This window comes from Homo sapiens, chromosome 10 (genome assembly GCF_000001405.40).
Source record: "Homo sapiens chromosome 10, GRCh38.p14 Primary Assembly".
NCBI classification, from domain to species: domain Eukaryota; kingdom Metazoa; phylum Chordata; class Mammalia; order Primates; family Hominidae; genus Homo; species Homo sapiens.
Genome location: NC_000010.11, coordinates 3,377,660 through 3,404,765, shown reverse-complemented (window position 1 = coordinate 3,404,765; position 27,106 = coordinate 3,377,660). Strand labels below are relative to the sequence as shown.

Genomic DNA, 27,106 nt, shown 5'->3' with positions numbered 1-27,106 from the left:
GTACAGATCGTGCTGTTCACTTTAGCCTAAAGCTGCCTCCTTACACGTTTTAGGTTCGGCCTAAAGGTTGCTTCATACACAATGAAGTGTGACTTACCTGGATGTGTCCACAGGACGCCACCTGCTCCTGGAACACGTAGCCAAGCCCCAGCCAATCCCAGCAGCCGTCTCTCAACTGCTCACAGCGGCCACTGTTCAAACTGCTGAAAAAGGCAAACACTAGGCTAGGCGTGGTGGCTCACACATGTAATCCCAGCATTTTGGGATGCGGAGGTGGGCGGATCACCTGAGGTCAGGAGTTAGAGACCAGCCTGGCCAAAATGACGAAACCCTGTCTCTACTAAAAATACAACAATTAGCCAGACGTGGTGGCGGGCGCCTGTAATCCCAGCCTCTCAGGAGGCTGAGGTAGGAGAATCGCTTGAACTCAGGAGGCGGAGGTTGCAGTGAGCTGAGATCGCATCATTGCACTCCAGCCTGGGTGAAAGGGCGAGACTCCATCTCAAGACGAAAAAAAAAAAAAAAAGGCAAACACGGAGCCGGAGCCAATCCCACTGTTTCTGGCTGTCACTTCCATTTCCATTCCCGCTATTGCCACTTTTCTGTCCTAACCCGTAGCAGCCCCAGAGTCACACCTCAGAACCTATTCTGGTTCTGGGGAGCTGCCTGATGTGTGACCCATTCTTTTCTCTATTAAACTCTGTTATACTTAATTTGTCTGAAGTTTTTCTTTGAACGATGCAATGAGGAAGCCGAGGCTTAGAGAGCTCCTCCCTTGACAACTTCCTAACCTGGCGAGTGACCGAGTGCAGACTGGAAGCCAAGGTTGCATTTCTTCAAGCATGCTGACTCCCAAGACTAGAAACAGGTAGATATTTAAAATAGCACCGATTTACAGAATGCCATAGCATTTGTATTATTCAGTTTGCTTTTCTCAATCATCTTCATCTTTTTTCCCCTCTAGGATTCTTTTATATATGGGGCCACCCCCCAAATAGTCCTGAATCTAAACATTTTGCTTACTGTCCAAATAAATAAAAAATAACCCAGAAATCCAATTTTTTTAAAGTAAGCATTTCTTGCCTAGACTACTTTATACAGGAAATATCACAAAGATTCTTTGTCACTCTATCTTCCAGATTTTGGTTAACGAAAATGGGATGATTCACAATTGATGCGAGAATTATGAGCCTCAAAGGTTACCCCATTCCTGCCTATTTTCCCCCACTCCTCAGGCGGCAGAGCCCTTCGGCTTACCCTGTATGTTGGTAACTGGCTGACTGGAGGCCGTGGACTTCGGCCAGCCAAAAGGCTGGGGTGACAGTAGCTGGATGAAAAGCCTGGCTCCCCCTGAGCCCCCCAGTCCCCAGAGGCCCAGAGGAAGCAACCAGAGAGAGGGAATCAGGGTTTCCACTACAGAACCAACTTGCTTCCTGCATCAAAAAGAGGTAGCTGCCTGTCTCCTAGCTGGAGGGATTGCATTTCCTGGTTCTGATCTTGGAGATTAAACAGTGAGACCACCATTTTTATTTTACCAATGGGAAGCCTACTGAAAATGTTCTTCTAGGTTAAAAAACAAATTTCTCCATTTAACAACGAGGCTTTAGCTAATGTCATTGCCACTAGCAACATATCATCTTTTGAACTTAAATTAAAAACTTTGATACCTTTTTATGAAAAAGCTTCCACATAAAACATAATTACTGTAATGAAGAAGCATTGCTTCTCATTGAGGATTTCTGGCAACGATTTTGTTCAATTTGCTGAGGAATGTCGGGATGAACTGACAGGGGTAACCCCTGAAGAGAAACCACCAAAGATAATTCTTAAGGAGAGCAGATGAAACAAAGCAGGATGGAAGGCAATTATCTGTTGCAGTTAAGTATCATACATTTCTAAGACGGAAGCACAATGCCATCAGTCAGCTGAACTGGACATCTATCAAAGAGAGCATTTTACTTTCTGTCCTATTAATGGTGTCTCATAATAAAATAATAATTTGCATTTCTATTGTGCCTTTCATCTCATAGGATTTTATAGATGCTAAATTATTTAGCTTTATAACAACTCGGAGACGTGAATTTCTTGAGATGCTAACCTGAGGCATTGATAAACTGAATGACCTCCCCAAGGGCACAGCTCGAATAGATCCTGAAGAACAGCTTAATCCTGTCCCCCAGGGGCATTTCTGCTGCCTCATATTTTATGGTTAAGCTTATCTGAGCACTTTTCTCACCCAAACAGATGTTTCTTTTTAAACTCCAATCAAAATCACCCCATCATTACGTGACATAAAGAATTATAGCCAAGTAAATCCCTTCAGAATATAGCTTAGTCTCTGTGCCTTTTTTTTCATTATTAGTGACCGGATCATCTGACAAGCATTGAGGAACTGGTAGAGAATCTGGGATCTTTTAGAGGGACATCCTTCCACGCACTGCACGAATATGTCACCCTGTTTTGCATGGCGTATAGCTGGCCTTCACTTATGAGAGTACTTCAGGATTTTGTGCTTAAATTTTATAGTGTCTATATCGATAACGGAATAATAATGGCAGACATAATTTTGTATTCAGCCTTCCTAATTTAGCTCACCCCAAATTGAGCCTGGAGGTAGAATCCGTGAAGCCAGGGGGAAAAAGAGATTAGGATTGAGAAAGAGGGTAATTAAACATTTCCCAGGCTAGAGAGGCTGAAGAAGAAATAAAATTGGGTTGGCATAAGAATATAAAACTGAGGACTGAAGACCTCTTCCTATGCACGAGCCACGTCCCGTGTTAAATAATTAACTGGTTGGCCATTGGGCTGAGGCACTCCAGGGCCCTGGGCTGCTATATAGGCAAGCAAAACCCAACTCAGTCTAAATAGTAACAGGAAACTTAAGCTCGATCAATCAGAAACCGCCAAATCCCCACCAAGTGGAGACTTTACCAATCAGTAACTGCTAAGGAACCCCTCTAGCTGGGGACTTTCCACTTTAACCAATCACGTGTTTCTTTGTCCTGCTTCCAGAGACACCTTGTAAACGTTTTCCCTCCCACCCTCTTATGGAGCTCTTAGAAGCTTGTGGTTTGTTGCTGCCTGATTCATGAATCGCTGTCAGCTCAAATAAACTTGTCAAATTTTTCATGTGCCTAAATTTATCTTTTAACATCCCTCAAATATGTAAGCCTTGTTTACATTAAGGATGAGAAACAGATTTCTATTTTCTAATCTAAACTTTTCTCCATGAAACATTCTAGAATGTCTTCCAAAAATGATTTGTACGTAGATAATATTTCTGAGAAACAAACATAGACTCTTAATTGGTGCATACCAAATCCCAGTTTCTTACAATGATTTTTTGATTGTGAATTGGATTTTGGTGGGGGAGGTTGGAATTTGGAAGGAGATATTACAACACTCACTGTTCCTTTAGTTGTCTGAGTAGGTACTGTTAACTAACTAACAGTGGTCACCCAAAAGATGGTGGTCACCCCATTGTGATCTAAAAGACAGTGGTAACCCTAAAGACAGAGGTCACCAGAAGTGCTGATTTGTGTTGAGGCAAAGGCAGACACACAATCCCGGGGTCCTGTGGGGTCCTGAAGCCAGTGTTCTCAGGGCACAGGAAAGTGGCGGGTGCACTGAGCCAATATTAACTGCTGCAGGGAATGTAGTTCACTCTGGTGTAATTGGTATTGTGTGTAAGGACCTCCCCTCCCCTCCCCTTCCCTTCCCTTCTCCAGACAGAGTCTCACTTTGTTGCCCAGGCTGGAGTGCATTGGCTCTATCTCTGCTCACTGCAACCTCCGCCTCCCGGGTTCAAGCGACTCTCCTGCCTCAGCATCCTGGGTAGCTGGGATTACAGGCACCCACCATCACACCTGGCTAATTTTTGTATTTTTGGTAGAGATGGGGTTTCACCATGTTAGTCAGGCTGGTCTCGAACTCCTGACCTCAGGCGATCTGCCCTCCTCGGCCTCCCAAAGTGCTGGGATTACAGACATGAGCCACTGCACCCAGCCAAGACATTTTCTTTTCTGCTTTTAAAGCATTATACTTATCTCAAAACATTCAATATAGCAAAAAAAAAAAAAAAAAGAGGGAAACATCCCAAAGCATCTGGCCTTCCCTCTTCATCCTTCCCCCTTGCCACCCTTTTAATCAAATCATCCGGACACCAACCAGGGTCACTGGGCCTACACAGTTCTGCGCGGTGCTAACAGGAAATCACTTTGTTTAGAACAAAAAATCACTTGTGATCACATCGCTTTGCTTGCTGGACAAAAATGCTTTAAAGATGATGTAATTAAATGTATTTAAATAAACTCTTGACACGGGTGTGAACTATTTTTAAATGAAAATAATTTTTTAACTGATCTCTCATTCCTCTGTGCACACTTTCAGAACTCTTACATACTATTTTTATAACAATTGAACCTGCTACCTAGCGGGATAGAATCGGTCTAGTGCTATCTCCTGAAATGTAATTACATACAGGAGGAAAAAGGCTGCTAGGTGTAGTATGGGAGATGCCGCTTCTTTTCAATACCATCACCGTCAGAGAATACACTGTAAAACTTGTTTTTCTACCATTTTCAGATTTCTTTTTGCTAGTTGCAGTATCTGAATTTGCTTTATTATTTACAAAGCTTGACAGTTTAAAACATGGTTTTCACCGACATGCCCTTGTACTTGTGTGATGGGGTTATTGTCTCTGCAGTAAATTCAGAATTCGATTGTCATGAGGCAGCTTAGTCGACCTCTGATCAACACACTCACTCAGAGAGTTTTCTAACCTCCAGGAAGGAAATAGCCCCAGGGCTGCTCGCATTTCTTTCTCTTTCTGAGCACTGCCCTTTCAGTGCTTTACCTAGTTTTCTTTATCATAGCCAATGTTCCCTACAGGCAGGAGTTCAGTGACAGTGGGGTGTGAAAACTTTGTATCCGAGCGTGGACATTAATCCTCCTGCCCCTCTGGAGCAACAACAGTGAAGGGAAGTGGGCCAGTTTGGGCAACATAGTGACTGCACAAAAATCACAGGGAGTTCACAGAGGATGGAATCTCATCCAGTTAACCTATTCCTGACCCTGAAAACACACACACACACACGTGCACACGAGAACACACACGCGCGCGCACACACACGCACACACGTACGCACACACCCGCACGCACACATGCACACGCACACCCACACACGCACAGACACGTGCACACGCATCACACACGCGCGTGCACACGCATCACACACGCGCACGCACACGCACACGCACGCACGCACGCACTTGCACACGTGCACACACATGCACATGGACACACACGCACGCACACACACACGCTACTGACGGCTCGCACAGCTCCAGGGGTGTCTGAAGCCTGTGATCATCAGCACCAGGGACCCAGAGACAAAACCAGCAGCCACAGCCAGGCCTCCAGGCTTCCTGTGGCTCCGCCCAGCACAGCACTGTATCTGATGTGTCGGGCGGAAGCTTCGTTGAAGACAAACATCCATTGTTAATTTCTGAGGCCGTGTCTGTTTGGCAGATGTGAGGTTATGGTCGGTCAGCGATGTCTGTCCACACATAGGCACGCCTCTGGACTCACTGAATCAGACACCCTGGGACCCGGCTCTGCGATCTCCGTCTTCCAAGCCGTGCAGGTGATGCTGGACCACACTTCAGTTGAGAATGAAGGGATGGAAATTATTTTAAATTGAAAACTCCTGAACAGTCAGCAGCCGCAGAAAGAAACTACCTCCACTTAAGCAGCTGCCCCAGGAAGCAGAGCTGCTTTGACCCCTCTGGGGGCATATCCTGCTTGGAGGAAGACTAAACCCCCCCCACACCGAGCAGTGCAGTACAGGCCGGGCATGGTGGCTCACGCCTGTCATCCCAGAGCTTGGGGAGGCTGACGATCATCTGAGGTCTACTCGAGACCAGCCTGGCCAACATGGTGAAACCCCATCTTTACTAAAAATACAAAAATTAGCCGGGTGTGGTGGCGCACTCCTGTAATCCCAGCTACTCAGGAGGCTGAGGCAGGAGAATCTCTTGAACCTGGGAGGCAGAAGTTGCAGTGAGCCGAGATCACACCACTGCCCGTCAGCCTGGGCAACAGAGAGAGACTCCATCTCAAAAAAAAAATAAAACAAAACAAAACAAAACCAGTTCGGATCAGCTGCCCATTAGCGTCAAGACCGAAAGGACCTTCCACACTCCCCGTGAAGCCCTGAGCCCCTGTTTTTATTGTGTTTGCTGGTATATAAACCCTTTCCTCATTACTGTGTCCTCACGTGTGTGTGCATGAGCACAGCCGATGGACCTTGCTCTCCCTCCTGTCCACCTGTCTGCTGTCCGTTCACTTGCAGACCCCAGATATTTCAAGCTATGACAGTAGAGAAAAAAGTCTCCCCAACAATAGAGAAAAAAGTCTCCCCAACAAGAACTGCTGCTGTCAGCCTGCTCACCTGCACCATGGTTCCCACCAGCACTCCTGTTACAAGTGACAGATGAAAACTCACGCGGAAGACGACCTCAGAGCCAACATTCCTGGAAGGAGGCTGCGCTGGGGGCCGTGCTGGGGGCTTCACGTGGAATATCTCATCTTCCCCACACAATGACTTTGCAAGATGGAAAACACTCGTCCACCCCAGCTGACCGATGGGGACAGGTTTGGAGAAAGCAGAGCCAAGGCAGGCACTGATGGAAACACGCGGAGAAGAGGGCGAGTGAGCTCGGCGCCGGTGGCGGGGGCACGCAGGGAAGAGGGCGAGTGAGCTCGGCGCCGGGGGGCACGCAGGGCAAACACCGGGCTAATCGGGTGAGGGGGCGCAGCAGACACGCTGCTGCGGGTAGGATTTTCTTTTGGTCTCAGATCTGATTTTGTGAAATGGGAACATGAGCAGCACCTCAGGTTTCTGTGCTAAGTGAAGCAATTCCTGCAGTGCCTGGCATGTTGGGGGGCTCCACACCTCAGAGTCCTCCTGCTGACCCTGAGGTCATTTCTCTCCCCTGCTCAGGGGAGCCCAGGGGACCTTCAGTCCAGACCTGACCTGCCCCTCACCTGCTGAGTAAGTTCAGGTAAACGATTTACTAGCTTTCTGTCTGGGCTTCCCCTAACTGTAAAATGAAGCATTGGGGGTGTCTGGGTGGAGGCCTATGCATCTCCCATTCTGTTTAGATTTGAGGCCTCAGTCAACAAAGACTTAGTGAGCACCTACTATGTGCACGGCACTGTGCGAGGAATTAGGGATCTAACACTGAAGCAGGAAGACATGAGCTCAGTCTTGGTGAGGCTTACAGTTTGTAGGGGAGAAACACAATCATCAGTGAATCACAAAGCCAACATTTGATGACAAACTGTGACAGGTTTGCTCTGGTTGCCATAACAGTCTATCACAGACTGGGTGGCTTAAATCACAGACATTTAGTTTTTCATCGTTTCAGAGTCTGGAAGTCCAAGATCAAGGGACCAGAGGGTTGGTGTCTGGAGACGGCTCTCCTCTTGGGTTGCAAATAGCTGCCTTTTCACACCATGCCCTCCCATAGCAGAGAGAGAGAGAAAGGGGGAGGGAGGGAGAGATGGTTGGAGAGAGAAAAAGAGAGGGAGAAGGAGAGAGAGAGAGAGAGGGAGGGAGGGAGAAAGAGAGGGAGAGAGGAGAGGAGAAGAAACGGAGCACACTCTCTGGTATCTTTCCTTTTAAGGAAGCTAATCCTATTGGATTAGGGCCCTGCCCTTGTGACCCAACATAACCTTAATTGCCTCCCTACCCCACATACACCCACTCTGGGGTTTAGCACTTCAGCATGTGAATTTTGGGAGGACACATACATTCAGCCTGTAACAGGTGGTGTGAGGCAAGTTCATTGTTCCGTGTCAGGACCAGTCTAGTTTATCAGGGGCTCAGTAATTCAAACAACTTTACTATGATTTGAGGAAAATATGAGTGACTGAAAAAGAGAACTTAGGCAAACTGGGTGATTTATTTGCCATCTGTCTATAGTATCAACTGAGGTTAGAAACCCCATACTCTGGTATCTAATAACTCGGTTCTGGGCATCTATACAGACTTTTAATATATCCATGTTTCCAAGCCGAGCAGAATGTAGAGGAGAGGGGTGTGGGAGGTGGTAGGGCTGAAGCTTATGGGCAGAGGAGACGAACAGGGCATTGCCCTTTCACAGTCATTGTGGTGTCTGTGAGTGACAGGTGAGTGGCCCAGTATCAGTGTATGTGACAGATTCGGATCTGAAACAGACAGCCCTAAATTAGATTCCAACTCCATCTCTCACTGTCTCTGAGACTTTGAGAAGTTTCCCTAACCTAGAAAACCTCTACCTCCGTATTTACAGAATGGGAGAAAGGCCAGTGCCATGAGGTTGCTTTTAGAATTAATTGGAGTAGCACATGCAAGCCCTCGGCTTTGGGGCTGCTCCGCCGTGTGGCTCCCAGCGCGCTCCGGTCACCTGTCTGCAGCAGGCTCAGGTTCCCGTCCTGAGCCAGTCAGAGTGGCACTCCGGGGTGGACTGTCCCCACAGGGTCTTCAGCCAGCAGCAGCTGGAATGGGCCCCATCAGTGAGACAGAGGACGGAAGGGGAGAGTTGCATTTCCAACCCTGACAGCTAAAGAGCAGAAGATGACAGGTTCCCAGAGACCTGTAAGCACAGACCTGCCAGCTCTTTCATTCCTGGGCTGTGGGCTTTTTTTTTTTTTTTTTTGACAAGCTAAGAGAACAATATTGGGCTTCCCCACAAATGACTGATTTTCTCTGAAGGCAAACCCCCCAGATTACATGCACTCAATCATCTGGGAACCGGGCCAGACCCAAACAGAGGTTTTGTCCATAAGATTTCAGGGCAGCTTTTTTACGGTCAGAGTCTTGCAGAGGGGATGAATTACAGTGGCCACTTAGAAAATTTCCAAATAAAGAAATCCTAATTGTTTCAGGGTCAGTGAGGCCTTCTCTCACCTGAACTGGGATCAGATTAGCAGCAACAACAATGAATGAGTGATGGAGACGGCATCCGGCACCCACAGTACACACAGAATGGTTATGTTTATCTTCCATCTCCTGTGCCAGCTTACTGACATGGGGCACTGCAGTTCCCAGAGCAAGCCTGGTGAGTGGCAGAAGCCCAGAGGCTGCAGACCTGCCTTGTAATTGGGGACATCCCCAGCGCTGCGAGAGTGGTTTTCCTCACACCACCTGGCTCAGCCATCTGGGTTGAAATCCACTGTGCATAATCACCTTTCCAGGCATCTCCCCTGAGATGTGCTCTGACGTGGGCAGGAAGGAAGGCTCACCTGCGAGCATGACATTGCACTCAGAGGCGCATTGCTTCCATCAGTGACCAGACAAACCATTCCCTACATTATTTTTCTGGTCAGGGAGAGCATGAAAAATAATAGCTCATCAGATTTTAAGCGTGCAGGGATCTGACGTGACATTGCTCAGAACAGTCACATTTGTCCCTTCCCATACAGGACTTGTCCCCTGATGAGCACATGGGACAATCATCCAAGTAGAATGAAACCAGCTGGGAGAAGCCACCACACATCCCCTTCAGAAACAGCAACTCTCCCACGCCTGACTGACTTCCTGGTGCCTGGAACTCCTCTGAGTGGAGCAACTCTATTGACTGAGATTATCTCCATAAAGTCCAGGTGAAGGTGAAAATAACAATCTCACCATTTACTGATTGTCAATTTCCTGTCCAATAAGAAAAGAATAAGACTTCAGGGAGGCAGGGCAGGCAACAGGCACGTCTGAGTCCATTTCTCAGCTGAAATCTACAAGAAACTGAGGACCTCAATCCCCCAACCCTGGAGCAATGCAGTCCTGCCGGTATGCTTGTAGGGGTGCTCAGAAGCAGACCCTTCCCCACCTGAGCCTTCAGATGAGTCCTCATCCCTGGCCAGTACCTGAGTGTGGACTTGTGAGTGAGCCAAGCCAGCCATGCCACACAAAGATTCCTGACCCACAAAAACTGTGAGATGATAAATGTGCATTGATTCAAGCTGCTAAGTTTGGGGGCAACTTGTTACACAGCAGGAGATAACTACTACACCACCACCATGATCTGTTTTTTGGCCTTTGAACGTATCTCATTTATTCTTTTTTTAAATTCTGTTTTCCTCTCCAAGATTGCCACCCAGTGTCTGTCCAATTCCTCACCCACAAGTCAGTTTCCACTTTCCCTCTGAGCCCTTCTGATTTTTTCCACTCATGATGGTTTTTCTCTTCCACAAGACACAGAATTTATTGTCTCAGCTGTGCCATTCCAAGATCAGGGTTTCTTTAAGCATTCCCCCGGCCTTGGAATAGCACAGCTCAAAACAAGGTACAAATGGGATTTACTTTTTTTTTTCTGTGCTCTTTATGACTGTATTACATCCCCTTTCACTCTTTTTTTCTTTCATTTTTGAAAATATAATAATGTTATCAACTAAAGTCACCATGTTGTAAAATAATATCTTGAATTTATTTCTCTTATCCAACTGAAATTTTGTATCCTTTGATCAACGTTTCCCCAACCTCCAACTCCCCCATTGCCCAGCCCTTAGTAACCACTATTCTTCTCTCTGCTTCAGTGAGTTCAGCTTTTGAAAATTTTCCACAGATGAGTGAGGTCATGTGGTATTTGTCTTTCTGTGCCTGGCTTATTTCAGTTAATATAATGTCTTCCAGGTTCATCCATGTTGTTGCAAACGACAGGATTTTCCTCTTTTTTAAAGCTGAATAGTATTCTGTTGTGCATATGTACCCCATTGTCTTTATTTGTTGATGCCTTGTTGGACACTTAGGTTGAGTCCATATCTTGGCTATTGTGGAGAATGCTGTAGTAAACATGAGACTGCAGAGATGTCTTTTAATATACTGATTTCAAAGCCTTTAGATATAAACCAAGAAGTGGAATGAATTGATCCAGGTGGGACTGAATACCAGACAGACAAGTCATCAACACTAGTAGGATTTGCATTTCTTTAGAAGCAAAGCTGGAGAAGATTGGAGGTTAGGCACTGGATCAGCACTGGTTGTCCAAATAAAGTAAGCATGAGAGTCGGGTGAAAGGAAGGAGTAGCCACTGGGAAGGGTCCATGAGAGGGAAGCAAGTGTGAGTGAGTGCTATAGACTGCTGGGGGTGGGGTGGGGGTGGTGCTGACACCTGTGATATGTGTGTGTGTGTGTGTGTGTGTGTGTATGTGTAACTTTCCCTCTAAATCTCTAAGTTACCCAACGGCTCCCCAAGAACCTGGTAACCTAGTGGAATGCAATGCTTTGAAATCCACTCAGTAAATATTCATTGAACCAGTGTATGAAACTAGAATCCCTGTTCATCCCTTTCTTTCTTTCTTTGCAATCTTTAAAAGCAAAAAGACATATATTATTAACAGTTCATTTATAGAGTCAATTCTATTTCTAAAGAGATAGAGCATATTTTAAATGTGTTACTTTTTTAATGTTTATTTCTATGGCTATTTAGGCTTAGTTTATATTCAATTTAACAGGGAAAAACATAACGAATTCAATAGCAATGCAAAGGTAATATAAATAGTCTAATAACAAGATATGATTTTCATTTGGCCCATATTAAAACTGGATTTAGAGGAACCATGCAAATTCACACTTAATAACAAATATATTTATATGCGTCTATTAATTTCCCATTCGGAAACACAAAAGCTTTCTAGATAAGGTATTTTACTGTCTGATATAAGGCATAGTTCTAATTATATAAAGGTTTAGGAAAATCAGGCCTAGTCAAGTTATATCTACATATTCATATGACTTAACTAAATTAATTGAGTATAATAGACTAGAATTGTGTAAAAATTAATATTTGGAGTTTTTATGTTGTTGCTGTAATTTTAAAAATGCCAGGCAACTGGTTTGACTAAAAGTTCTCACTGCTTTGGTTATAGCCAAACTATAGGGGGGAAATGTTTATTTTAACTGTTAGTTGTTACAGGCTAATGGTTCATCATGTCCTTAATAGAAATCAGACCCAGATGTTTTAGATAAAAGCATACCATTTATTCAGACTATATCCACATTAGAAGAAGAGAAATAGCAATTTAGTAATAGTCAGAATTATTTTACCAACGCAGGCAATCAGTTTGGAGCATCTGCTACCACCAGAATCCTTAGGAGATCAAATCATCATTTCTGCGATCAATGCAACGATGTTTGATCATCTTTAACGTCTACTATACTCTCTGCTTGCAATTCTTTTCCAAATTAATTAATTTAGCCAAAAATCTCAGGAAAACAATTTAGCCTGAATGTAATACTCTGTTTCCCCATAATGAAAAAGATAAATAGTCTAAAACAGAAAAAATAAACACACAGCAAAACACGTGCTCTTATACGTGGAAAGTTAAGCTAAGAATGTTTGGGGGAAATTGGCAGACCTTAAGTCTTGAATTTTCTGGGACCTTCCCTCTATTCTTCTCACTTTCAGCTAGCATCTTCCATGCCGTGGTATACAGCATGATAGGGTTTGAACTACACATGTTGCTCCTCTTATTATAAATGCCTAATCCTTAGCTGAAACTATTTGTCACAATAATATCCTGTAGTGAAGACTTTTACAAGATAATTACATGGTGAGTAAACAAGGCAGTGTTGTCTTTTATCTGTTCTAAATGGGATGTCTTCTAATTTTATCACCTACCTTTTGTTCATATATTATTGGGCAGGGTAAATAAGAATCACTGAACAGCCTTTCTAAATCATTTGTTATTATCCATGCTACTATTTCTATAAACTAATGAGCAATATTTAGTGCTTACGATCTTCCCACTTTATAAACATCAGCTTTCATTGTTTCTGCATTAGGTGGAGGAAATATTGAGCCCAGCTTTCCCTTTGAATGCTTACAAGGTTGCTTGTAAAATATTCTTCTGATGACACAGACTGGAGAGAACTGTGTCTTTAACCTATTGCATTTAACCCAGGGATGCTCACTGCTAGCTGAGGGTGGCCCAAAATGGAGGCCACAAATGAACCTCTTCTCTACTCTTCTTTCCTTTTATCCTCTCCTTTCCTTTCTCCTTTCCCTTCCCTTCCCTCCCCTCCTCCCCTACCCTCTCCTTTTTCTTTCCTTTTCTTTCCTTTTTTAAAATTTTTTCTTTCTTTCTTTCCTTCCTTCCTTCCTTCCTTCCTTCCTTCCTTCCTTCCTTCCTTCCTTCCTTCCTCCTTTCCTCCCTTCTAACATTTATGGACACATTACCATGAACACAGTGGACGCTGTTGTTAATTCCATCTTAAAAATGAGGAAAATGAGGTTTTAAGAAGTTAGGCAACTCATCTGATGTTACACATCTGAGAGGTAAGAAAGCTGTACTGAAACCAGGATCACCTGACCCTGTGATACAGCCTGTCACTCATTCACTTCATGTCTCTCAGAGATCTCTTCACGTGCCAGTCTCACTGCTCGGAGGAGCACAGAAGTCTCATTGGAGAATATCTGGGTAGTACCAGATAGGGAACCTGTCCTCAGAAAGCCACCTTTCTCACCCAGATACCCCTTCGGCTACTTGATAGATCACCTGTCACGCCCATCACCTGTGCCTATGGTCAGCGTCTCCCCACACTTGCAGCTGCTCTCAGTGACTAGGGCAAAGTCTGACTTTGAAAGCTCATTTCAGGTGCTATGCACGTGACAGTGTACCAGCAATGTCTGGCTTGTTCCTTCTCCCATTCCTTCAGGGGTGGTCAACCAATTCTGAGAAGGAAGCCCTGCCCCCATTCCTCCATCCCCACATCCCCGTCGTCCTCGGCTCCCAGCTCTGCCCTTCCATTTCTGGCATGCCGGTGGGTCGAGCATTGTCTGCCTTCTGGGGAACACAAACCCTTTTGAGTTGTTGGGAAGTTTCTGATGCGTGAGTTGTTGGGAAGTTTCTGATGGGGTCAGCTCTGGTTCTCATGGGCCATTAAAGTTGGATTGTTGAGGGCTAGAAAGGAAGACAAAAGTGCATGTCCTGAGTGGAGGTATGAAGGGTGAATGGGGACCGGACCCTGAATGGATGCCCTGAGCAAGCGAGGGGTCTACCAGATGGAAGCCCAGAGGTCCGAGCTGATGTGGAGGACAATGGACAGGGAGGGGCAGTGCCCACTGCTTGTGCAATGGTAAGAAAATGTACAGAGGGAAGGACAAACCCCAGGAGCTTTGCTCAAATACCCAGCCGCCCTGGGACTCCCAGACACGCAGGCCCAGCCTACAGTCAGGCACCCAGCCAGGTAAAGCGCCCATCCCTGGAAGGGGGTTTTTGCCCCATTGCTACTGGAGTTCATCATTGGTGGTTTATTATGATGGAGCTTGGACAAACTACAAATGGGCACTGGGTGTATCTAATGCTGTATGTGAATACTATTCATTTTTTAAAAGTATATAATTCAAATAAACATTCTTTAATAAAAATGAAAAAAAGAAATAGTGTTAAAAGCACCAAAATTGTGTGTTATAATATTGCATGTACAATGAGATAAAGGTGATAGCCCTACCTGGTGTACAAATACTTAACTCTAAAGTCCTGAGTGTAAAAAACAAGAAATACAAAGCCATACAATAACTACAATGCAGAAAAGTTGCACTACAGAGCAAAAGGCAACAGTGAAGACGTTTGGAGATTTTATAGCATTTCTGTAAGTACTGCAAATCCCCACACTGGCTGCCAGGACCCCTGGCCGGATGGTGATCATGGTGCTGGGGTGTTGGTTAGATTGCACCTCCAGGGTAGCAGAGGGTGTTTGCTAATTATTGGAGTGGAGATGGTTACCAAGCCGCCTGTCTCTGAAAATCTTGCAGAGATATTTTCTTTGTACCACAAGGCTAAAATTAAGCAGTGCGATGTTTTGTGATATAAAAGTGTGGGTTTCTCGGCCAAAGAGTTTCCCAAAACTGTCACTGCCAGACTTTCCCAGGGACCAGCACTCCAGAGGGTTAAAACAGTTTCCCATCAGTGACTGTCTTTCAAGAGGTCAGCTGTGTGTGTGTGTGTGTGTGTGTGTGTGTGTGTGGTTGTGTGTGTTTGTACACAGATGTGTGTGTCACAGGAGAATTTTTTTTTAAACAAGTGATTTGCAGTTCCTATTCCCCTTGAGAAACTTGGCTTCCTAGCAAATTGCAATATGAAAAGCTGACTAGAATTTCTCTAAGATAATTTTAGCTCATTAAATGATTATCTTGTTGTAACTAAAACCCAGACACTGTGTTAAATATTGCAGATTTATGTAGAGAAAGACAGGATACCCGCCATGAACTGAGGGTTTATGTTCCTTCAAAATGCCTGTGTTGAAAGCCTCATTTCCAGTGCGATGGTATTTGGAGATGGGGTCTTTTGGCGGTGATTTTTTTATGAGGGTGAAGCTCTTATGAATGGGGTGAGTGTTCTTTCCTTCTCTCTCTGTGCTCTCTGACATCATGTGAGGTCACAGCAGGAAGACGACCGTCTGCAAATCAAGACTCCAGTCCTCCCCGATGCCGAAACTGCAGCTGGCACCTTAATCTTGGACTTCCAGCCCGCAGAACTGTGAGAAATCAGCATCTGCTGTTTAAGCCGCCAGTCTGTGAGATTTTGCTATGGCTGCTTGAGCAGACTAAGATAATACCTGCTATCAGTTCCGAGTAGGAGGTGCCTTCCCACTCTCAAAATATACACTTCATGTACATTTAGTGAAAATTCCTCTATCTCAATGTCCATTGGCACCTGCAGGTCCCCTTAGGAATGATTTGAACCATGCCCCTCATCCCCCACCCACCCCAGACTCTGCATCCACACAGACACTTCCAAATGACAGCAGGGGCTGCGTGCAGAAGCAGGAGGCTGGCTTCTTCCTCTTGTTGTTGATATACTTCAGGTAAGAGTTCTTGTCAATACTTTGGCTAAAAGCTTTGTCATTTATCCAAAGATTTGTGTCAACTATTCCTTCACACATTTCTTCCTTTATTTATGCATTGATTCAACAAATTCTGAGGGTTCTCTGTGTCCTGAACACACGCTTGAGGTACAGGATCTATCTTAATTGTACTCCCCATATACCATTTGAGAAGACTGAAGTTCAGAGAGGTCATGAAACTCACCTCATGCCCAATAGTCAATCCTGGAGGAGTCAGGGCTTGAACTCAAGTGATTCTGATGCCAAGGTCTATATCCCTACCAGAATAAGGACTTCCACAATATCTCAACCTGGCAAGCATAAGTACCTTATGATTACCCACCAGACATTATTTGCTATTTTAAAGAACATTTTATGATAGAACATTTTAAACATACATATATTAGAGAAAACAATTTAGTAAATTAGTAAATTTTCATGCACTCGTAACCCATCTTCACCAATTTCCAATATTTTTCTTTCTTCTTTCATCAATCTCTATCAACCTCCACATTTTTTAAGCTTCAAAACTTTAAAGCAAATCTCAATGTGTCACTTTTTGCACAAATGTTTTATTATATTCCAGAAGATGTTTTTATATTTAACCACAATGCCATTATCACTCTCAAGAAAATTGGCAACAATTTCTTAATAATACCAAATGCCCAGTCTGTGTTCAATTTTCACTGATTGTATCAAAATAAATGTCTTTTCCCCATTGGTTTGTTTATATCAAAATCCCAACGTGGGCCACATTGCATTTGTTGATTTCTTACCTTTCCTATCATCTACAACAGCTTCCATTCCTTAGCTCCACCTTTTTTTTTTGTTTTGTTTGTTTGCTGGGTCTTTGGAAGAAATGAAGAAACTGAGTCATGTGTCATGTGGAATCTCCCACATTCTGGATTTGGCTGTATCCCCGTGGCTCCCTGTCTATGACGTGGTTGAAGTGTGAGTCTGATATCTAGGCACATACAGAGGCTCCTCCCCATGGAGAGCTCTGCTACTCTGCTAGGCATTCCTGTTCCTTTTTTCTTTCTTTCTTTCTTTTTTTTTTTTTTTTTGAGACGGAGTTTCGCTGCTGTCACCCAGGCTGGAGTACAATGGCATGATCTTGGCTCACTGCAACCTCTGCCTCGCAGGTTCAAGTAATTCTCCTGCCTCAGCCTCCCGAGTAGCTGGGATTACAGACATGTGCCACCATGCCCCATGCCAGCTAATTTGGTATTTTTAGTAGAGACGGTGTTTCTCCCAGTTGGTCAGGCTGTTCTCAAGCTCCTGACCTTGTGATACGCCTGCCTCGGCCTCCCAAAGTGCTGGGATTACAGGCGTAAGCCACTGCACCCGGCCAGCATTCCAGTTTCTAAAAACCATGACACACAATGGATTCCATCTCTGTTCTAGCCTGGGCATGCTGTCTTTACCTTGTGAAGATAAACCCTGTTTCTTATTGTACTTTCACTGGGGCAGTAGATACATAAATATCACACATTTTCAGTCTTTTAAGCCTAAACAAATAAGTGCAAATAAAATCAAAGTGTTTTTATTTTAAATTCCAGCTTCCATGGTCGGGCTGGAGGATGGAGTAGGTGACAGAGCGATGCAGGATCTCCCTGGAATCAGATGTGAGCCTCTTTTTCTTACGCAGCTTTCCCCTTGGAGATCTTTTCATTTCTTATGCATTCTGCTCCCACCTCCATGGTTGGTTTCTATTTCAGACCTGAATCCACATCAGATCACATCTTTCTTCTTGACTGTTCTATCACAACTTACACCTAATGTGACTACAATCAAGCTCAAGACAATTCTCCCCAAACCAGGTCTCACCCTAAAACTCCCCTTGCTTATCAGTGGCACCATGTTCAAAAGGCTTACAACCTTGAACTACTGTTTTTTTTCTTTTGTTTCCACATCCACTCCCTTACCATTGTTCAAGCCAGCATTTCTTTGTACATTCAGGAAATGCGTGTGCCATGAATGAAGCAAAGACCGATCCAAGAACAGAAGAGACATGTAGTCTTGTCTTCCTATGCCTTCTGAGGATGCCTTGACCAAGGGAAGCTCATGGAGATGAGCAAGAACCAGAAAGTCCTGAGGCTGTTGATGAACAATCAAATCCAAATGCGTCCCTCCCTTTCAGAATTGCCGGCTACCTGCTTACTTCAAGACTTAACATCAAATGATCAAAAATTATTTTCAGAAACCAAATTGTTTCCAAGACATAGGCTTTCTAGCATTGAAAAGGATCAGAAGAACATACTAAGTCCTAAAAGCAGTTTCAAAAACAGCTCTAAAGGATTTTGGCTGATTCCTTAGAATAAGCGGATGGCTTGCCAATAGCACGATTGTAAATAGCTCTACTCTGACCTAGTGGTTTGTGATTCAAGATTTGGGGCATTTATTACTGAACAAAAATCATTGTTTCTCCAATCCAGAATAGAATGTGGTTGATATGAATGTTAGACTGTTCTACATAGAGAAATTGTTACCTGGGAAACCACTCGTATTCAAAGACAACCTGACTTTTGTGCATGTTTTTTGAATGTCGATATTACACCTTTGAGTGGTTTGACCTCAACTATTTGTTTTTGTTTTTAAGACAAAGTTGGATACCTTTAGGTAAAAGTATACAGTTGTGTAACTATCACCACAATCAAGATAGGGAACAGTTTCATTGACCAAAAAGTTACCTGTGTGACTTTGCAATTGATCCTCTCCTCCAATCCCTAGCTCCAGGCCAATGCTGGTCTGCTCTCTGACATGATGGTTTTGCTTTTTATAGAATTTCATAAGAATGAAATAATATGGCATGTGCCTTTTTTGTGTTTGAATTCCTTAACTTAGCATAATGTCTTTGACATCCATCCATGTTGTGACATGTGATACTATTTTGTTCCTTTCTATTACTGGGTAGTATTCCATTGTGTGGATACTCCATGGTATTTATGCATTCACCAAAGCCAATAAGCATCTGGGCTGCTTCCAGTATTTGGCTATTAAGAATAATGCTGCTATAAACATGTGTGTACATGTTTGCGAAGACATGTTTCTATTTCTCTTTGAGAAATAGGAGGAGTGAGTTTGTTGGGTCATACAGTAAGTATATGCTAAACCTTCTAAGATTCTGACTAGTTTTTAGAGTAGCTGTACCATTTTTCATTTCCACCAGCAATAAATGAAAGTTCCATTCACTCTGCGTCTTCACCAACACTTAGTATTGTCAGCCTTTTTACATTTAGCCATTTTAGTGGGCACAACAATGTTGCATTTTGGTTTCATTTGCATTTTCTGAAAGCTAGTGATGTTAAGCATCTTTCCTCTATGTGCTTGCCATTCATATATCTTCTTTGGTGAAGTGTCTACAAATCTTTGAGCACTTTTAATCATTGAGGTCTCTTTTCTCCTTATTACTAAGACGTGTGCGTGTGTGTCTGTGTGTGTGTTCATATTTCCTTTTATATTCTGAATACAAGCCCTTTGTTGAATATATGTTCTCCAAAATTTTGTCTCAGTCTGTGGATTGCCTTTTTGTTGCCTTATCTATATTTTTCAAAGGGCAAAAGCTTTTCACCAACCTTTCCTGGAGTATCCTACAAGGAGCACACTGTTCCTGTAGGATGCCCCACCACATACTCAGGCCCTCACTACCAGCCTTCCTGACCTCCAGCAACCTCATCTCAGCCTCCCCATGGAAGCTTCATACAAAGAGCTTGAGTTAACAGAATGGCCCCACCACATACCAGGGCCCTCACTACCAGCCGTCCTAACCTCCACCTACCCCACCTCAGCCTCCCCATGGAAGTCTCATACAGACAGCTTGGAGCTTGAGTTCACTAAATGGGAAGGGATCAGTACCCAGAGCTGACAATTACGGTCAAAGTGTCTCAAACTTAGGGATATCAAAGAAAGGCCTAACTATGTGTGGTCTTATTTCAAATCATCTTGTATGGTCACATCTAAACAAGGTTAGGAACAGTGGTAAAATCAACTGCGGCCTTTGCTTTGATTTAAAAACATTCTTATCTATCGGGGGAAGATTTACCAGGAAGTTATGGAATCTTGAGCTTCAGGAATCTAGAGTTCCACGGACAGGCCCCTCCCAAGTCCTGGGGAGGGCCTTGCAATGTGTTTATGTTCATTCTAAGCAAATATAAATGTGTCTTCCTTATTCACATGTGTAATTTCGTATTCTTATTTTAGCAAACACCCCTGCCTCAAAAGATATATTTCAAGCTCTACAAAGAACTCAGGGACAAGCCAGCTAGAGTTATTTGAATGATTTAAGAGTATAGCTGCAAAGACAATGAATGTCCTCTAAATTATGAGAGAGACTGTGTGATGTGTGCAGGTGTGTGTATTCAGGCCTTGTATGCATAAGTGTGTAAGGGACTATATGTGAATATGTGTGTCAGGGGTGTGCTGTGTGCTGGCATAGAGTCTAGAAGAGGAAGAATAACCATAAGCTTGGTAAAATATCTCAGAAAATATCCTCTAACTTATTTGTCTCTGTTTTCTCTGCTTTATTTAAAAGGACAGTTTTAACAAAAACTATGTTTTTTTAATTTTTAGTTTTTATTTTTATTTCTATAGAACTTTGGGGGAACAGGTGGTATTTGGTTACATGAATAAGTTATTTAGTGGTGATTTGTGAGATTTTGGCTCACCCATCACCGAAGAGTGTCCACTATACCCAGTGGGTAGTCTTTGATCCCTCACCCCCTCCCACCCTCTCTCCCAAGTCTCCAAAGTCCATTTTATCCTACTCATGTCTTTGTGTCCTCATAGCTTAGCTCCCACTTATGTGTGAGAACATATGCCACAACCTGGATGGAATTGGAGGCCATTATTCTAAGGGAAGTAATGCGGGAATGGAAAACTATATTGTTTTTAAAACCCTGAGTTCCAAGAACAGATAATTGGCACAGAGGTCTGAATCAAGACAAGCTGACAACACATCTCAGAGATCAGCAGAGCACAGTCATAGATGGGGTCCTTGTTCAGGTATCCTCAGTTCTTCCACCTAGGAATTAGATTTCTTTACGGCCTCTCACATCATACCTTCATTTCCAAACAAGTGCACACGACTCTGGGATCGAGCTCCCATCTGTCTCAAGGACTCTCTAGAATCTTGGGTAGACCACTCGGGAATTTTGTCTGTAAGTGAAAGTGAATCCTAGGTCGCAGTGAAGGTCTTTTGTAGCTGTAATGCCCCATTAAAAATAATGCCATTACTCTTTACATGTGCTTAAGATCAAAGGTGAAGTAAGTTTTTATTTGTTCAGTGTAGTCTTCCAATCTTTTTCTATAACTTTTCTGGGTTGTTTTTGTGGCCTGTCATTTGTGGACGGCGTAGCAACCTCAAACCTACCTGTCTCTGGCCCCTGAGGGAAATGTAACTGACAAAAGTCCCAGCCACTGTGCCCCGAGACCCATCTCCATGTCCGTGCTCAGGCCATGTTTCCCCCGGCCAAGGATGAAGCACGCAGGTGAGCTAAGGCAGGTCCATCCCGAAGACATAGACGTCTCTGCTGGTAGCTTTGGATGGGGGAATCCTCACCATCTTCCCAAATTCTCTCAGGAAACTGGAGTCTCAGGTGTCTCCGCCACCTCCTTCTCTCCCTCCCTCACCTGATATCATTCCACTCACTTCCCCCTCAGCAACCACTAATCTACTTTCTGTTTTTGTAGATTTGTCTCTTTTAGATATTTCATATAAGCAGGATTTATATAACATCTGGGCTTGTGTGTCTGGCTTCTTTTGCAAAGCATCACATTTTTAAAGTTCATCTATGTTATAGCATGTATCAATATTTCATTCCTCTTTACTGACAAATAATATTATATTATATTAATGTGCCACATTTTATGTACTCATTCATGAGTTGATGGACATTTGGGTTGTTTCTGCTTTGGGCTATTATAAACAATGCACACAAAAAACTTGTGTGCAAGTTTTTCTGTGGACATATGTTCTCATTTCTGTTGGGTAGACACCTCAGAGCAGAATTGCTGAATCATAGCTACATGCTATGATTGACATTTTCAGAAAATGAAAACTGTTTTCTAAAGCAACTGCACTATTTTATATTCTACCAGAAGTGCATGAGTACTCTAATTTTTCCATGTCCTTAAGTGTGCACTATGCAAACTTGATTTAATAACATCTAAACTTAATCAGTCTGACTACATTTCTAGAAAACAACACAAGAAACTTAAAATAGATCACCTCAAGTAGATTATTCCCACCTTTCTCATGTGTTCTGGGTGGGTCAGAACCCCCCAAATCAGAACTTACTCTTATTTGCCATAGTCAAAATGTGTTTCAATTTTACTCACATATTTACTAGTTGCTTCGATTGTCACTTTTTTTCCCTCTCATTCTTATCTTTTTTCTAGAGTCACATTTTTTTTCCCTTGGTGATGCTTTCAGCAATGCTCTGTGAGCAGTAACATCTCGGTTTCCTTCTGTCCTTTTTATCCTCTTTCCCTCCCTCCCTCCCTTCCTTCCTTCCTTCTCTCTTGCTCCCTCCTTCCTTCCCTCCCTCCTTCCTTCGTTCTTTCCTTCCTTCTTCTTCCTCCCTCACTCCCTCCTTCCTTCTCTCCCTCCTTCCTTCCTTCTTTTCTTCCTTCCTTTTTTTCTTTCCTTCCTTCCTCCTCTTCCCTCCCTCTCTTCTTTTCCCTCCCTCCTTCCCTCCCTCCCTCCTTCCCTCCCTCCCTCCTTCCTTTCTTCCTTCCTTCTTTCCTTTCTTTCTTCCTTCTTTTCTTTTATTTTCCTCTTCTTGACCTAAAATATTTTTATCTTACCCTTTTATTAGTCCATTTTGTGCTGCTATAACAAAATATCACAGACTGGGCAATTTATTATAAACAGATATTTAGATCTCATGGTTCTGGAGGCTGGGAAGTCTAAGATGGGGTTACTGGCATCTTGGGGGGCCTCTTTGCCACATCATAACATGGTGATAGGCATCACATAGGTGAGACAGAGCAAGAGATGGCCGAGTTCATTCTTTGATAAGGACCCCACTCCCATGCTAATGGCATTAATTAAATTAATTAATTCATGAAGGCACAGCCCTCATGACCTAGTCACCTCTTAAAGGTCCCACCACATAACATTGTTGCATCAGTGATTACGTTTCTAACACATACTTTTGGGGGGACATATTCAAACCCCAGCAACAATAACATAAGGAAATACAGAATTCCAAGTTGACAGCTATTTCTTTTTCTGTTTTGTCCTCTGTCTTCTCCTCCAGGATTCCATCTCCATTTTGGTAGACATGTTGTCTATGTTTCCTACGACTCTTGCATATCTTTTAAATGTTCATCGTCTCTTCTCTCACAGGTATTTTAAACCTCAGATTGGGAAGAATTCTTTGAAAACAAGGAAAGCCCCGGTCTCTCGCCCAGGCAGCTCTCCAGTCTTAAGCCATTCTTCACAGTTCTCTCGACACGCAGCTTTTCTCATCTATTAACCTCCTGTGCTTATTTGCTTTTTGTTGTTGTTGTTGTTGGAGACAGAGTCTCTCTCTGTCACCCAGGCTGAAGTGCACTGGCCCAATCTTGGCTCACTGCAACCTCAGCCTCCCTGGTTCAAGCAATTCTCCTGCCTCAGCCTCCTGAGTAGCTGGGATTACAGGCACCCACCACAACGCCTGGCTAAATTTTTTTTGTATTTTAGTAGAGACAGGGTTTCACCGTGTTGCCCAGGCTGGTCTCAAACTCCCAAGCTCAGGCAATCTGCCCACCTCGGCCTCCCAAAGTGCTGGGATTACAGCCATGAGCCACTGTGCCTGGCTGCTTCTTTGCTTTTTGAAGCTGATTTCAAGTCGTCCCATCCCACAGGCTCCTGGACCCAGGATACTGTGGATACTAGCCTCCAGGGGCTGTAAGGCTTGGTGGGCATTCTGTTTCAGGTCCCCACCGAGGGGATGGGGGTCAGATATTCACTCGGTACAGCCCAAAACTTTGAGAGTCGGTGAATAGAGAATTGGCCGCTTGATCTCTGGGAGAATTTGCAGCCTTCAGTCTGTTTGTCCAACTTCACCACTGCCAAAGTTTCATAGCATAAATGATTCTTCATGAGGCAGTGAATCAGTGGCATTACAGGGACTTTTCTTAAAAATTCTACATTTTATATAACGTTCGTCTCTTCAGTGGAAATTTAGGTCTCTCCCTAGGACAGTTATAGAGCTGAAGCTAACCAACAAGACTTTATCACTTTTGAAAAGAGAGAATCATTTACCATAATCTCTTCTAAGCTTAAAGTTGGCATCCTAGTTAGTGCTTTATTTAAACAATGATAACAAGGTTCTGAGAATGAGGAGCTGGAGAATGGCAATGCCTAGAATATTCTCTAAAAAAAAAAAAAAAAAAAAAAAAAAAAAGACATTTTCCCTTTAGAAAATGATGGTTCTCCTTGGCATCCACAGCCACAACCCAATCTGTCAGGCAAACATAATTTAAAGGTTCGATTTCTTTTTATTTTCCTAACAAAATTCAAACGAAATAAATATTATTTACTTGTCCCATTGAAAAGAAGAGCCTCCTGTTCGCTCAAAACACTGTATTACCTACATCTTAATAAGTACAATAAGTTATTTAAATTCCTGTTCTTTTATTCTTATTTTCATATTTTTAAAGTATAGTCCAGTTTATCTCTTTTCTTCTGAAATGTTTCTATTGTAAAACAAAAAAGTATGCTTTATGTTAAGTTGAAAAGTGTAATAGAAAATGTTAGCATCTGTTTTGTTAGGATTTGGTGTCAGGCTAGAGAGCTTGCTCAGGTAAAACACGTGAGTGAGAAGAGGGCAGGTGCTGTCTCCCTGTTTTCTGCAGAAGAACAGAAACTCCTCTTATTTCCTGGGGGGGAAACCTCAACCTTCCTACCTGATATCAGGCCCAAGCAACCCCACTGTTCTTTGCCTCTTTGCCCTGCTCCTGCTGTTACCTGGACACTGACACTGCCGTCTCAGGAGGCACCTTCCTCCAGCCACAAGCAGGTGTGCAATGGCGTTCCCTGGCACTCCGCTCAGTGTTCCTGACACCCCGGGCAGCACCACAGACAGCATACAACAGTGCCTGTCACTGCCTCGGGCATCAGGTTGGGGTCCGTCCACACCACCACTGTGGGAAATGGAATGGAACAGACCCTTCCTTTTTGCTGGACAATTCATTTAATTGCTGCAGAATTGCTGTATGTCACCAACTACTCTCACACACAGTAGTTTAAAATCACAGGTTCTGCAGATTTCTCAGTATTCTGTATCTGTGCTCAGTGACACATCAACTTAGTGATGCTGGACTGTCAAGGATGGACACACAGGTGCGGGCCTCCGGGAAGAGGCTTGGTGGCTGGAGCTCCACCTTGCAGGAGAACTGGGGCTTATCCACACTATGGAGGAAGGCTCTGGAAGAGCTGCCAGAGCAAGCCAGCCTCTGCTTGGGCCTCTCTTCTCCTAATTGTTTTCATAACTGTTTAAGAACCCCAACCAACTGGTACAGGGAATGCCCAGTACCTAAGACACAATACAGATTCAAAGGTGGAGGCGTTCCCCCAACAAGACCAAAGACTTCAGGGTCTGGTATTGGAATTGGGAGTGTAGGGCTTGTGTTTTGGGTGGATTGCTGGGTGTGTGGCATGTCCGAGCTTTGGCCAGCTGTGAACAGAGGGATGGTCACTGTTCCCCGGCAGTAAGGTTTGGATTCAAGTGTGTTTGAAGTGTCTGGTTTCACGTGTCATATAATTTCTGAAAGGATGCCAGGTAGGTCGAGCTCCTTGCTGGGCTCCTTCTCAATGTGGGCCACAGTGTCCTTCTGAGGGTTCTGTTTCTCTGAATCCTGAATAACAAGTCCCGGTGTCTCTCCCGACATGCCCACATTGTTGATCACGACCCTTCAAGCCAACTGCAAATGTCTCCTGGGGGGAAGAGCTGGCGTCAGTGGCCCTGACAACGGGTGCTGCCAGTGTGCCCGTGTTTAATATCCTACTGACCAGAGCAGCTCCAGCCCAGTTCAAATCTCTGCAAACATCTATCGCAACTACACTATGGGCTGTACAGAACATGGGCAAGGGTTTGTGAAGGTTTAGGGCCATTCAGTGAAACCTGCAGCTTGAAGGAATAAGGCTGAGATTCTCACGCTCCCTGCTCTGTGTGTTTCCAAGGAGAGACGCCCGAAGTGGAGACATCCTCTCTTCTTCCCTCACTGGCCTCTTCTGGAGCCCAGGGTCATGCCTCAAATCTCCTTCTCATTCCCTCATGAAACCCACAGAGGGGCTGGGAACAGTGTCTCTGGGGGCCAGGCCGACCACCAAGAAATTCCATCACACCCACTGGGACCCCCATGGTGAGCAAAGCCAAGGGTCCAGGGCCTCAGGGGGAGACCGGAAACCACCCTATCGAATTTCCCGTTTTATATCCTCTATGTTTGACAATGAAATCATGCTGCATCCTTTAACTGGTGAGCCAGGTGAGTTAATGTAGGTCTGGCTACAGAGTGAGTGTGGTGCTCATGCGAAAGTAAATGCATGGCCCCTTTACAAAAATTAGGGTTCTAAGACAGACACAGCACAGCTCATGCCAGTTTCTCTCCGCATGCTACGCCGTGGCCAGAAGCTGTGGGCAGCACATGTGTGTGCGTGTGTGTGTGTGTGGTGTGTGTCCTTGTGTGTGTGTGAATGTGTGCATAAGCGTGCCTCTGCATGTGGACAAATCTGTGTGCATGTCAGGGGGAGCTCACTATAATCTCAAAAGACACAATACTGAACCCTGTAATCCTGAATGTGGAGATCCTTAAAGATCAAAATCTGAAAAATATTATTCTGGAAAAAATAATTTAAAATTCTTTAAAAGGTATATATATTTACATGTTAAAAAGGGGGGATTCACTTGATAAACATAGACAACCTGACAACACTAATAGGTCCTTTACTTGATAAGATAGGCAGCAACAGCATTCATATTTTCACAAGCATACACACCCAGGTACACAAACGTGGTCACACGGGCATGCCAGTTACAAGCAAAACAGAGGGGCCGTCTAAGAAAGCGGCCCAGAAGCTTACTCTCTAAGCACGTATCACTGTGATGGGCAACTGTGCACCCAGCTGTATAACCACCACCTTCTGCCGCACCGCGATGGACATTCCAAGTCTTTTGATGAGACGGATCAAAAACCACGTGTGTGCCGCGCCTAAAGAGCCACAATCTGGCGAAATGTTCTCACTCACAATGCAG

At 44.0% G+C, this 27,106-nt stretch overlaps 3 long non-coding RNA genes across 3 annotated transcripts in view, besides 2 other annotated features; 1 reads left to right on the top strand and 2 right to left on the bottom strand.

Moving 5' to 3' along the window:
- LOC105376360 (uncharacterized) overlaps window positions 1-27,106 on the bottom strand; it is a 432,070-nt gene that overhangs the window by 345,999 nt on the left and 58,965 nt on the right. The window lies entirely within an intron of this gene.
- Window positions 4,580-5,156: an enhancer, noted in NCBI's record as "NANOG-H3K27ac-H3K4me1 hESC enhancer chr10:3441802-3442378 (GRCh37/hg19 assembly coordinates)". NCBI's record gives its function as "activates a minimal SCP1, AML or CMV promoter by ChIP-STARR-seq in primed H9 embryonic stem cells {active_cell/tissue: H9 hESC(primed)}" and the evidence as "EXISTENCE:reporter gene assay evidence [ECO:0000049][PMID:30033119]".
- Window positions 5,157-5,734: an enhancer, noted in NCBI's record as "H3K27ac-H3K4me1 hESC enhancer chr10:3441224-3441801 (GRCh37/hg19 assembly coordinates)". NCBI's record gives its function as "activates a minimal SCP1, AML or CMV promoter by ChIP-STARR-seq in primed H9 embryonic stem cells {active_cell/tissue: H9 hESC(primed)}" and the evidence as "EXISTENCE:reporter gene assay evidence [ECO:0000049][PMID:30033119]".
- On the bottom strand, window positions 6,332-7,271 carry LOC105376357 (uncharacterized). Its single transcript, XR_930567.3, has 2 exons — window positions 7,206-7,271; window positions 6,332-6,684 (listed from the first exon to the last, which is right to left on the bottom strand). It is a non-coding gene; the product is annotated as an uncharacterized LOC105376357 (long non-coding RNA).
- Window positions 7,411-13,065, top strand: LOC105376358 (uncharacterized). The gene is made up of 3 exons (XR_930568.3): window positions 7,411-7,463; window positions 8,933-9,105; window positions 9,470-13,065. It is a non-coding gene; the product is annotated as an uncharacterized LOC105376358 (long non-coding RNA).